We start from the raw sequence: 13983 nt of genomic DNA, 5'->3' as shown, positions 1-13983 counted from the left end.
CCAGGGTTCCCCTCTCAGCAGCACTTCTCTGAGGGATGTAATTCTTGATGTAATCTCCCATGTTTATAGGTTTCCCTAAGCTCCCAGCCACCTGCAGCCACTCAGCCAAGCCCTTCTGGGCCACCTTCGGATGCGTTTGGGTGAGGAACTCACCCTGAGCACTGCAGAGCTTGCGCAGTACTGGCTCAGAAGTGCTGTGGTTTTTAGTGCCAGCTGAGCTAACAGGAAGCTGAAAAGCAGCATTTACTTGGTGAGTCTATCTGTTAAACATTGTTGAGTCAACATAAATGCTTGACAGTAAAAACAGATACAGCTGGATAGTTTGCAGACATTCTAGTCCCTGAAAACAAATCCTGGCTTGTCCTTAGAACTAGAATTCAGCTATAGGCCAAGTGGAAATGAAGCTTCTTACCCATAATTCTAGAGACTCAGTAGGGAACACCTCCCCCAGCCTCGCACCCCTGCTTTGAAGTTTCTGCTCTGTGCCTCTTATCTTCTGGTTCCCAATTCCAGTTCCCTGGAGATGAAATTGCCCTTAACATGGAACATCACTTCCTGGATTCTACTGGTAGGAGTTTTGTTTTTGTTTTTGTTTGAAACGGAGTCTTACTCTGTTGCCCAGGCTGGAGTGCAGTGGCATGATCTCGACTCACTGCAGCCTCTGCCTCCCAGGTTCCAGTGATTCTCCTACCTCAGCCTCCTGTGTAGCTGGGATTACAGGTGCACGCCACCGTGCCTGGCTAAATTTTTATATTTTTAGTAGAGGGATTTCGCACGTTGGCCAGGCTGGTCTCAAACTCCTGACCTCAGGTGGTCCGCCCACCTCCGCCTCCCAAGATAGTTTTAATAGGTTATCTTTCTGGTATATTAGTGAGTAAGATTATAGGATTTTGGATTAAAGAGACCCAGGTTTGAATCTTAACTTTCAGAATGAACTCTTTGACCGTCAATAAATCATTTGAGCTTTTCAAGTTTTAGTTTCTTCCCCTGTAAAATGGTGATAAAAATACACATTTATAATGCTGTTTCAGAGCTTAAAAGAAAAAGAAAAAATAGAATTAGGAATTTCAGCCTCATGACAGATCCATAATTGATGTTCAAACAGTAACTATCATTAATATTAGTTAACTATTTCTTTATTATTTCATTAATTATTCATTAAATAATATTTCTTTCTAAGGGAAGGAAGAACTTGGACAGAACACTGGGCCATTACTGCTTATTTTGATGGGATTATTGAATTTCAATCTTACTACCTGTTTGCCAATTAAAAAAGCAATCTTTCAGTCATTTTGACATATAGTGTAGTGATACAGTATAAGCATTTTTCTACTGTCAGAGGCCAACTCCTAAAAGCTGGAAACAAACCTCTCTGCTCCAAGAAGGTCTTGCTGGCCATGAGGCCACATGCTCACTGCAGCTTGTTAGGGAAACCCGAGCTTGTTAACCTCATTGGATTTAGATAGCGCAATGGCAATGCTCCTCAACCTTTCCGTCATTATCACCCCACTAATGAGATATTTTAGACACTTCTTCTCAGATCACTCCTATCTACATACAAATTCAGATATATACTCTGCATTTGTGTGTGTATATGTATATATAGGGGTATATGTATCTATATGAGTGTGTATATTATATATAATATACTTATATACACACATATGTATCTATATATGCATATATACATATAAACAGATATACATATATATATATATCTGTGCTTTTTATGTAAAAAAGTAATTTTTTTTAAATTTCAATTCCCTTGGGACAGTATCACCCTGCAGAGGTATCCAGTTGATATCTTTAGCCTCTTTCCAAGATATAGCGACTTTGACTGAGTGGTGGCTGTAGGAAGAGATGAGTCAATGGTAAGTGTGGGGATCTCTATGAAAAGACTTTCTTAAAAGTTTAAGGACAAGTTAGGCACTCCCAGGCTTCCCAGGAGGGGGCAATGAAAATAGAAAGCAACTTGTGTGACCCATCTATTCCGCCTGAGAAGGATGGTGCCTTTTAATTAAACAAATTACCAAAAATGCTTAAAGGTTAAATGGAAGGTGTCTGAGCAAGATATGGACCTTATCAGCATGGTGCATGGAGAAGTTCCTCTATGGCAGCATGTTGTGTGAACTTAGATTGCATAGACGTGGAGAGTAAAGATTGCTCTAGGGACCTTGGTAATAGAGAGAGACGATAATAATCTAGCAAGAGAAATAGAAGGAAAGCAAGAATTATCAAAAGTGCATACAATAGGATGGAGATGGGCGAAAAGATGACTGAGGCTAGAATCTGGAGCTGAATCCCTGAGAAACGTGTGCATTATTTATACACTAAGGAAGTCAGAAAGAATGTCCGGTTTAATAGAGAAGATGATGAATTTTAGCTATTCTCTTTTGATTTATTTATTTGAACTTCAGCACTTAATATATTTAAACATATCTGTGTACTTGTAAGCCACATTTTCCACTTAAAATAAAAATATTTAAATTATATTTTAATCAGTCAGGCTTAAAAGAGTGATGATCAATATTTTTATAATACTTTTCTTTATCCTTCAAAAATAGATATCTATTGTCACTTGAAATGTAATGTTTTAACATGCGTTTTCTTAGTAGAGAGGACCTCCAAGATGGTGGAACTGCATTTGTGGAATCATCCTAATGATTAGTGCTAATTAGACTTGTGATTTCACCATGATATCAGAGACCTAAGTAAGCAAAATTTCTTTGTAAAAATAATCATTTGTTTGTCTATAGTCAATATGTTTCTAATAGAAGCTGTCAGGATTGTTCAAGTCTGTTCTGAATGCAGGCTGTTTCCTTCCACATATGATAATAATCTCAGATGCCCCCGCAGAGTAAAGAAAATTCTCTTCCACCACTGCACATTCATGAAAATCATGTCCTATGAGAGTCAACTAAAGAAGTTACAAAGAAAATGTCCAGAGCAAAAGATAAACATGATGGACATAGTAGAGACATAAAAGCCTGGATCCACGTGCAGATCTTCCTTCTCAGAGCTGGGCAATGTGTGCTCTGAACTTACTCTGTTACCGTTAAGAACCCCGAGCAACGGGTAAGTCACAAAGCTGCTGTGGACTTCATTATACTGGGTTTCTTTGCTATAATCATATTTTTTCTTCACTGTGGACCTATCTAATTGTATTTATTCCAGTGAAAATTTGGATTCAATGTAGTAGAAGTATTGCCATAGAAAGGTAAGTTCCTTATGTGAAGCAGTAGCAATTCAAAGATAGCTACTGCCAGAGCCTAAACTCAGGAAACCAGGCATGTGGTGCATAGATTAAAATAGAAAAATAATGTCAATCTCTTAGTTTGGCAACACATCTACTAGGAATTCATTCATTAATTCCATAGACTCAAAATCTATTATGGTGTCACAAATCCACATGAGTTCTTTGGGTCCCCAGCTGCTAAACTAACTGCAGGATGCTGGCATGACGACTGGTTGTATTTTCAAGATGGCTTTCTGTGTTGCACTTTTCAGCAAAAGCCAGATGCTTTTGGTTTTGCTTATAGGATGGAATTCCAATCTGTTCAGTCTGACAAGGATATTCACACAACAGATGCAAAGAACTTAATCATAGCTCAAGGGAAAAAAAATATGGCTCTTACTGAATCTTGCTTAGCTCTCAACTTTCTCTTGGAATCCAGACTTGCCCAATCTCTGATACATGTGAAGGAATTTTTAAGTGCAGAATAATTTGATGTAGGGACATTTCTTAAAATGATCTTGAGAAGATAAAAATACCTGATTTTATCAAATCCCTAGGGGAGATCACCATATCTCATCAGACAAAATTTATATTATTTTTGTCTTGATTTAAATAAATTAATTATATAAAATTTTAATAATATTCTTATTATGTTTCCACATGTTTCAGGATAAAGGAAAAATAAGCATCATTCTTTCCTTTCATTTAGGCTTCCACATTTAAATATTAAAAACTAAGAGTGACACAGATTTTCAATGGTAGCAATGGCTACCACTGAATCACAATGAGGTTCCAACATAATAGAACCCCTATTGAACCTCAATAGAGGCTCAATTGTATATATTATGTAATTTTATATATTACAAAATGCTTAGTATTCTATTCCATAATTATCATTTCAACGTTTGCAGTATAATTTGAATTAGATATATTTTATTTCATTTAACTCAATTGTATTGGGGATCATCTATTTTATTCTTAAGTCTAGAGCATCTAATGTAGAGGCTTGTACAGACCAATGTGAGAGTGAAAATTTAATGAAATTAAAAGCCCCATATGAGATAAAATAATTGTAAGGAGGAAAGCATAAAATATGATTCTTGCCTTCAAGGATCTCACAGCCTTAAAGTGGGATGTGTCCATTCATGGTTCCTGAAGGGTCTTACTTATTAGTATAAGATTCATTTCTTACATCCTCCCAGTCTCTCAGAGCCCAGACTACTAAACCTGGGCCCACAAGTTATATCCTGTAAAGGTTCTGTAAGTGTACAGTTTGTGAGCTAAGAATGATTTTTTACATTTTAAATCATTCTTTATAAAAACAAATACTATGCAACAGAGATCCACATGGCCTGAAAGGCTGAAAATATTTACTTCTATCTTTCACAAAAAAAGTTTCTTTCCTCCTGACTTTGATGATTAGGTTTACTGTTTATTACTTGATATGACACAGTTCCCTGTTCAGAATGTGTGCTAATTAACTTTATACGTTTGTGCTGATTCCAAAGCAAAGACAACAATCTTAACATTTGTCGATTAAAGGAACAAACAAACAAAAAAGTCGTTTTTTAAAATATGCCTTCCCAAAAGCAACACAACTCACTTCTTTCCACATAATATGGGCAAGATCCAATGGCCACACTTGGATGAGAGGGCTGGTGGATGCAGTCCCTGGCTGGACCACTAGGGGTGCTCTTCACTCTGGACAGACGGCACAAGCCCCTGGGAAGCACCCAGCCTTCTCTGCACCTGTGTAATGGTAAACAAAAGGCCTGACTTCTGAGCAGCGATTTTCAATTAACAATGCATCAGATTTCACTCTATCCCAGCACCCCACTGAAACCTCCAGTGCAGATATTTTAATAAAATAAGACACACAAGAATAGGGAAAATGAGAGACAAAAACCAACAAACAAAAACATGGGAGCAGAAGAAGAAATTGATTATGTGATAGCTGGCTTTAAAACCTGAGAAGACCAAATCTTGACCTTGCAGTGAGAATACAGAGGATTCTTCAAACAAGCCAGGAATTTTTGACCTTGCAGTGAGAATACAGAGGATTCTTCAAACAAGGCAGGAATGCCCATTCGACTTTCCCCAATGGCTCTGCATAAGAGGAACCAACAGAGATCCTTTCCTGAGACCTAAGGAGGCAAAAGCTAGGTGGCAACCAAAGATTTCAGAGGAGGAAGCAGGTAAGGTGCAGAGCTGCCAGGTGATTTCTCCCATTGACTATTTGTCTTTTTCCTTTCTTACTACCTTCTTTGTTTGCTTATTTTAGTAGTTGCTTCAGGATATATAGTAGTATATATCACAGGCACCCTTCAAGTGATATATTGCCCCTTCATATAGTACAAAATCCTCACAACAGTATACTTCCATTTCTTTTCTCCTGGCCTTTAGTCCTCACTGTCTTCTGTTTTCATCCAAATCTTCTTCCTGACTGTTGACTCTATTGAACCCAGTGGCCCCAAGTCTGTCACCACATGCTGGGCTGTGAGATGTCGGTGCCCTGCAGCCAAAGGCCTCCAAGAGCTCACCTGCACTTAAGTAAGTTGGGTTTCTCATTTGTCACCGTGAGGGAGTACACACACACCATGGAGAATTGCCAGGTGTCCCAGTAAAGGGTGTCAGAAAGAACCTATTATAGGATGTGAGCTTTGCTTGGTGGTTTTGAAAGGATTTAGTGAAATAGGGAATTGGTCTCTGTTGGCTGCAGTCAAGAAGGGAAGGTCATTCTATGATTGGTACCTCAATAAATCTTACCTATGGGAGGGCATTCTAGATGCTAAAGCAGTAATTAATAATAATAAAAAAAGCAGCCACTCATATTACCTGAGGAAGAGAGATTTTTGTATTTTGCAGCTCGGATGATATGCATGTTTTGTCTCTATTTAGGCATGATTCTGGAATGGTCTGTTTGCTATCTTCGTTGTTGTTGTGTCTTGATCTATCATAGTCACAGAGTGATCTTGTCTCATATTAATGTTCTGTGAAATCATTTATGTTCAACAGGAAAGCACCGAGGCACAGCCATGAGTGCCACACCAGCTCATAAAAACACCAAGATCTGCCTGATAATGCCAGGGCATGCCTGGGTGTCAGGCGCTGCTCTGCTTTTCTGGGGAATCGCAGAGTTCTGGTGTGAACTTCTCCACCAGCCCCCGAGCAGCCTAGCCTCAGCAGCAGATGTGCTTGGCTGCTCAGGTTGACTGATGGGAATCTCCTCCTATGTTCTTGTTTCCCTTTAGACCTTCATTTCTCCAGCTTCTCCCCTAATTGTGCCAATCTGATTTCTATAATGAATCCCTCATCCCATTACTCATAGTGGTACTGCTCCCCTAGTTAAACACTAACTGATACCAGGACTCAAATAAGAGACACAAATTAAGTTATATTTAAAAAGCAAATAGATCCCTGGGTCCCCTTCTTCACATCTGCACATTGAGAAGCTGTCCTTCTCAATCACAGCAGAATGATGGAGGTTCATGCTCTTGAAAAGGCAAAACAGAGGGTCTTTGGAAGCTCAGAGATATTTGAGGGAAGAACAACTTTCTAGAAACAGGGGAATTATTTTAAAATATGTTAATTGAATGCTGAGGTCACTAGTCCCCTTTCTCTACTTTCCAAATTTTACACCCACACAAGTGCACCTGCTGGGTGGCGGGTGGGGGTGGCGACTCTAAACTCTGACCAAAGGTTGACAACAGGGGATCAACGTTTGAGGCTTAAAATGACCACAAATGATGAAAATCATTATGTCCATGTGATGAATTGATTCCACAATCACTAAGAATTAGTCTTCTTTATTCCTGGATAGAATTGTATTATCTTTATTCAGAGAATAGAAGTACTATTATCATCTCTGAAATTACTTTGGCTGAAATAAATACAGCCACTCCAGCTATATTTTCGTTTGCATTATCATGGTATACTTTTCCCTGTGGATTTTCATGGAAAATTTGATTTAATTTTTTTGCAAGTAGCATATCATTGAGTCTTACTTTTTAATTCGACTATTTTTTCCTTTAATTTCAGTGTTTCAACTGCTTACATTTAATATAATTATTGATATAGTTATCTTTGTCTGTCATATTTATTTTCCATTTTTCCCATCTACTGTTTGTCTTTTTCCTCCTTTACTACCTTCTGTGTTTGCTTATTTTAGTATCTGCTTTAGGATATATAGTAGTATACATCACAGACACACTTCAAGTTATATATTGCCCCTTCATATAGTACAAAAACCTCACAACAGTGTTATTTATTTTCTCCTGGCCTTTATTCCATTCTTGTTATACACTTTAATTTTACCTACCTTATAAACTCTGTGCTATAATTTATTGCTTTATTTCTAAACAATCCATTATTCGAAGGAGAGATATAAATAACATTTTAAAATAATTTTACATATTTGTACATGTGGTTACCATTTCTAGTGCTTTCAATTGATTTGGTTGATACATCCTCCTGATATCATTTTATTTTTGCCAGAAGAAGTTTTATTAACATTTCTTGAACCCAACTGAGTCGGAGACCAGAGTGGCTCTGTCTGTCACACTTGGAGAAACTATTAAGGGCTATTCATACCTGCTCACTTCCTCAACTGCTCTGTAAATTGAATAACCAAGCCAGAGAGTCAGAGTCCAGTTGTCATGTCAGGACTACTTGTATCTCTCTTCTTTATAATGAGTGGGAATTTGGGACTAATTCGCTTTAACACTTGGTGTGTTTTACACATTGACAAATCACAGGAAAATGCTTTTCTAAAATATTTAAACTTTATGAACACTGATTTCTAAATAAAAAATACCTGAAACTTTTTCTTTAAATTATTTCTTATATTTTATGTAGTGGCTTGAAATAGATCAAAGGAAGGATGCTAGATGTAGATATTTTATAAATTTTAACAGTACAGGAAATTGGACTCTTTATTTCCATTTGAATCCATATTTTGTGAAAACCCTCCACCTAGAAAGACCTCCCAAGTTTCATCTGTCCCTCTGTCTTGGCCAACTTGTTCTTTCTCTGTCTCTTCCCCTGCCTTGAGCTCCGAGGTGCTTCCTGGACTGGCTGGGCCCCTTGCTCCTCACTGCACATCTTAATATTTCTCTTCCTCCTTGTGCTCTCTCCAACCACTGCAGCAAATAGTGCCTATGCTGCCTCTGTTTTGCATTCTATTCAGCTTAGCTTCTATTTATTTGCTACTTGAACTACTCACTAATTGTGCATAAAGTGTACACTTTGCAACTCAATAGGCTATCAATGGCTGTGTTCCCCCGTCGTGCCCCAGCACCCACCTGGTGAGGAGGAGGAAGGGAAGATAAGGAGCTAACCCAGTGGGAGTTTCAGCAAGAAGCAGGCATCTGGCAAAGGTGTATCTTTCACCTGAAGTTCCCGGGGAAAGTTCAAAGCAGGAGTAAACAGAGAATGGAGCACCAGGTGGGAAGCCGAGCTCAGTAAGGTACAGAAAGAAGCCTGATCGCCAACAGAAGGGTCAAGGGCAGGGATGGAGGCTTATGTGCAGAACCAGCACCTGGAGGTCATGAGATCAAGACCTGGGTGACGAAATGTGATGCAGGTTGAGCCCTTGGGGTGTCACACCTGATATTTGGCTTTAAAAAGTCTATGTGGGTGTGGGTGTTAATTACCTCATTAGTGTCCTGTGACTGCTATATTAATCACCACAAATGTGGTTACTGAATTCAACGTAAATATATATACTCTCACAGGTATGGAGACCAGAAGTCTGCAGTTAAGGTATGGGCAGGTCTGTTTCTTCTAGGGACTATGAAGGAGAATCTACTCCGTGCCTCCTTGCAACCCGTGGCACTCTTTGGCTTACAGAAGCATCACTCCAAATTCTGCCTCCGTCTTCCCATGGCCTTCTTCTCCAGATTTAGGCCTGTCCTAATCCTGGACAATCATATCTTGAGATCCTTAAAACTGCATCTGCAAAGAACCTTTTTTCCAAAGTCGTCTTCTCAGGGTTAGAACTTGGACATATCTTTTTTGGGGGTACCATCATTCAACTCAAAACCATTATACAATTCGAGACAGTGTTCTAAACATGTATGAATGCACTTAATTCCTATACCAATTCCACATTAAAGTATGTGTCAGTATTATGACCACTTTACAAACCAGGAATCTGAGGTGAGGAAGGAATAAGTAATCTTTCCAAACCCCCATAGCTGTCAGTGTCAGGGCTGCACCTGAACCCAGGTAGGCAAATCCCACAGTTCACATGCTTTATCACTGTGCTTTAGAAATGGCTGAGCCTCTGTTTCTTCACCTGTGAAATGGAGACAGTGACAGTACACATTTAATAGAGTTTCTGTGAGATTACGTGTGCCCCAGCATGGACAGCCACTACAGATTTAACTACTGATACTAACACGAGAGTGAAGCAGCTGGGGCAGGTCCTGCAAAATTCCAGCAACATTTGACTTTGATGGGCTCACAGGTATGGTGCAGAGGAGAGCTGGCTGTGCTGAAGGGGCCAGACACAGGGGCCACCGGAATAGAAGCTTCTCAAAGGTGGCAAAGATGCTTTTTATGCTTGTTGCCACCACCCAGAATGATGTTAACCATGAGGTACGTGCTCAGTGAAAGGGTGTGGAGTGAATGAATGAGTGACAGTACATTTTTTGGAAGCAGGCACTATAATAATTATTTCTTCTGTACCTCCTTTTCCTAACTGATCTCTGCCTCTCCAAGGCTAAGAATAGTGCTAGTCATAGACAGTAATTTACTTATGCAGGTCCTTGACCTCTCCATCATCTCTTAGCCTTAGATGGAAAATCATACAAGAGAATGAAGCTCCTGGAGAAGAAATGGTGAGAGAAGACCTCCAGGATCTTCAGAAATGTTGAGACACAGGGATGTGGTGAAAAGAACATGGGGGAAGAGCATGGGCATGGTGGTGGGGGTCAGAGCAGGACTTGGTGAATACAACTCATGGAGTGCTTGATCTGTTGATCTGTGCCAGGCAGTGGGCTAGATTGTAAAAATAAGACCAATGATAAAAATTGATATATACATATATATATATATAAAATATATACGTATATATATAGAGAGAGAGACAATGACTGATATATAATCAATAGATGATGGATAGATAAATAGACATAAGTAGATAGATAGCTTTAATTCTTACTGTGCCACTTAATATCTATAGAAACTTGCATGAGTTATAATAACAATTTAAGCCTCCATTTCTAGATAAAATTAAGTTACTTAAATGCTTAACTCATAGGGTTTCTGTGATAACTAAATAATAAATCTTGCATATATATGCATGTGTATGTCGGTGTGAGTACGAATATATATACAGAGAGAGAAACAGACAGACAGAGACAAGGACAAAGAGACAGAGAAGAGAGAGCCAGAGAGATTGGAGGGCACACAGGTGAGCTTGGTACCAAATAGATCATTTTGCCTTCCTTTTCTTCTCAACTCCTGAAATACTCTGTTTCTGAAATACAATGCAGTGATAACTACTGTTTATCCTTTTTTATTTTTTTTGTCATGTAAGTCCAAGATTCCTTTATAGAAAACTCTCAACCTATGGCATCAATTTTGGACCAAGACGTGGCCATCTGCCTTCCTAAATGCCCCTAAATGACAGCTGAGCTCCTCAATAGCCTTCATTGCTCCTGATCTTTCACCCCTGCAGGGAAGCGTCTGGCAGCACACTCAATGTCCAATGCCCACTGGGCTGACCCAGAAGCAAATTTTGTGTCAGCTCCTCCAGCCCACCATGGATCATCCTGGGAGCTGTCTTCAGATGGTAATTATTCTCAGCTGAAGCCATGGCCCCATTAAAGACAGAACACTGGAGATGAAAAGTCCCAGATTCCATTAGCAGTCTCTACTTCAGACATGAACTATGGGACTTGATGCCTCTGATGTGTCTCTTCATGTTGCTTCCACAGGCTTAATGATGCCTTTAGCATCTCTCACCTGAAAGTATCGCTCATTATGTCACTGAGATGCACGGCCATATTTCAGTTAATTAAGTTCATTTGCTAGTTTATAAAGGAAACACAATTAATAAAATAAGTCAAGCATGTCTTACTTTTTTCAGGTCAACATTGAAATGAGAACTATTTTGACTAATCTGCTCGGAATAAAATGAGAAAAACAGTTCATGCTGAACTACTCATATGTGGAGGTGATGAACATATGTTTCTAATTTTGAGCTGAGAGAAAAGCAAAAATAAACAAATTTAACAAATCTTAGTTCTTGACAACCACTCACAGAATAGTTCAGCTAAGAAATAAACATATGGTTCAGGGAATAAAGAAACTGCCTGGCTCGGTGTGGAAATGACACTTCTAGACTCAGAGTTTCATGACTGCAGTGAGCTCATTTCTTCTGTAATTAGGGTCAAGACTTGAACTTTTCCTGTGGATTTTCCCATCAGAAGACTGGTGCCATTTATCCATTTAGGTGAGCACTATAAGGACATTGCTTCATATCACGCTTCAAGAGTGATGAGTTTCACAAGGAGATTGCATGTCTCCTCAGAGCTGGCCCGTCTGTATGTGATCAGGTGGGAGAATTTGCTTCAGTAAGTGGAGTGTGATGGGACAGGGGTGTTAAGTGCCCCCTGAGGAAGTGTTGGCTCTAAGAAGAGAAGAAGTTTGGCCATGATGATGCTTGGCCTCTTTTCCAGCCATGTCTCAGTCAACCCTAGCTGCTGGGAAAATTATCACCGACTGGTAAACAGCAAACATTTATTTCTCGCAGTTCCGGAGACTGGAAGTCTGAGATCAGAGTGCCAGCGTGGTCAGCTTCTGGTGAAGCCCCTCTTGTGCCCCACATGGCAGTGAGAAAGTGAGCTGGCTCCAGGTCCTCTTTTCGTAAGGGCACTCATCCACTTATGAGGCTCCACTCTCATGACCTAATTACCTCCCAAAGGCCCCACCTCCAAGTATGATCACATGGGGGACTCGATTTCAACATATGAGTTTTGGGGGACACAAACTTTTAGTCTGCAACAAGACAGGATTGTCTTACTATGATCAGACTGTGGGTGATTTACTTCGTTTCTTGACACATCTGTTTTTATTCTTAAGCCTGTATACATAGATAGTACTTACTGTTTTACAAGAATCCAGTTTTTCCTTGCATGGTAATTTATTTTTAAAAGCACTGTTTTAAGGTTTCTGTGATGAGCTAAAGGCATCTAACTGAATCCAGAATATACTGTCAACTTTAGTGTCTCAGGTCGTGTATTGTGAAGGAAAAGGTGCCACACGCTTGACACTGGTCTTGGTGCAACCTCAATCGCAACATGTGAATCCCAAGGGAGTTTCTTCCTCTCCAAAAGCCTCTGCTTCCCCATCTTTTTTTTTTTTTTTTTCTGAGACAGAGTCTCGCTGTGTCACCCAGGCTGGAGTGCAGTGGCGCAATCTCGTCTTGCTGCAACCTCCATCTCCTAGGTTCAAGTGATTCTCCTGCCTCAGCCTCCTGAGTAGATGGGGTTACAGGTGCGTGCCACCATGCCCAGCTAATTTTTGTATTTTTAGTAGACACGGGGTTTCACCATGTTAGTCAGGCTGGTCTCGAACTCCTGACCTTGTGATCCACCTGCCTCGGCCTCCCAAAGTGCTAGGATTACAGGCGTGAACCACTGTGCCCAGACTTCTCTATCTTTAAATGAGCCAATTGAGGATGATCCCTGGGATTTATCCAAACCTACACGTTTTGGGGGTTGATGAGAGTGAGGGTGGAATGTCTGTCCCTCCTGGACAGAATCCTAACAACTCTTCAGCAAATCAGTGAACTTGAATCCATGCAGAGGCCTGTTTCTAGGGAGAATGCCTCGGCCAGCTGACCACAGGGATCATAGCCCTTAGACTTCCTCAGATTTGAGGGAGGGGTTCAGTGATCCTGCCTGTCAGCTCCCAGGTTCACAAGTACAGCCACAATATAGATCATCAACTGCTTGTCTTCTCAGCCCTGGGAAAAGTGTGGGTGTCTCTTTGCAGCAAGTTGTATCAGCAAGACTGCCATATCAGGGGTTGCGCAATCCTCAGTTTAACATGAGGAAGAATTTACTCTCTGTCAGAGTTGCACATTCTGCTCCAAGAAGCCGTTCACCGTGGGTTCCAGCACAGGCCAGATGAGGAAGAGAAGCTTCCCACTCTGAGGGGTGAAGTCCCAAGTCCTGTGGTGCCCACAGCAAGGTCCTTAGGCCAGCAGCATGGGCATCACTAGGGTGCTTGGTGGAAATCCCCACACTTAGGCCAACACAGTCAGCCTCTGTGGGGATCTTTCTCTTTCTTCCTGTACCCCCACAAGGTAGTTAGGAAGGACCCACCTCCCACCATGCCCTCAGATTGAAAAAGTCTCAGTTCTCTGTGGCTGAGTCACATTCTGACTTGCACAGCAGTTTTAAAGTCTTCACAATGACCCTACTGGCTGAAAGTTATTATCAAAATTCCAAGTCATAAATTAGTTAACAACTAAGTAATTTTCGGTATGCAATCTACAGGCTTGTCATTATTCCTGTAGGTGCTGTCTCCTGAGGCTGTTTAAATTTCTGGTAGTTTCTGGTAGTTTCAAAATCTCAGGAGCCATTTGTTTTCACAGAGATTCAGTTGACTTTTTAATTATAGTTTAAAGCAAAGCTGTGGTTAAAAAGTAAGTTATACGTAATAGAAACATGAGAACTAATACGGAGAATTATCTACTAATGCATCGGTAATGTTGATCCAGTTTGATATCTGACAGC

The sequence above is a fragment of the Homo sapiens genome, chromosome 5 (genome assembly GCF_000001405.40).
Source record: "Homo sapiens chromosome 5, GRCh38.p14 Primary Assembly".
Classification (NCBI taxonomy): Eukaryota; Metazoa; Chordata; class Mammalia; order Primates; family Hominidae; genus Homo; species Homo sapiens.
The sequence above is the reverse complement of the archived record's forward strand: the minus strand, read 5'-3'. Positions refer to the sequence as shown.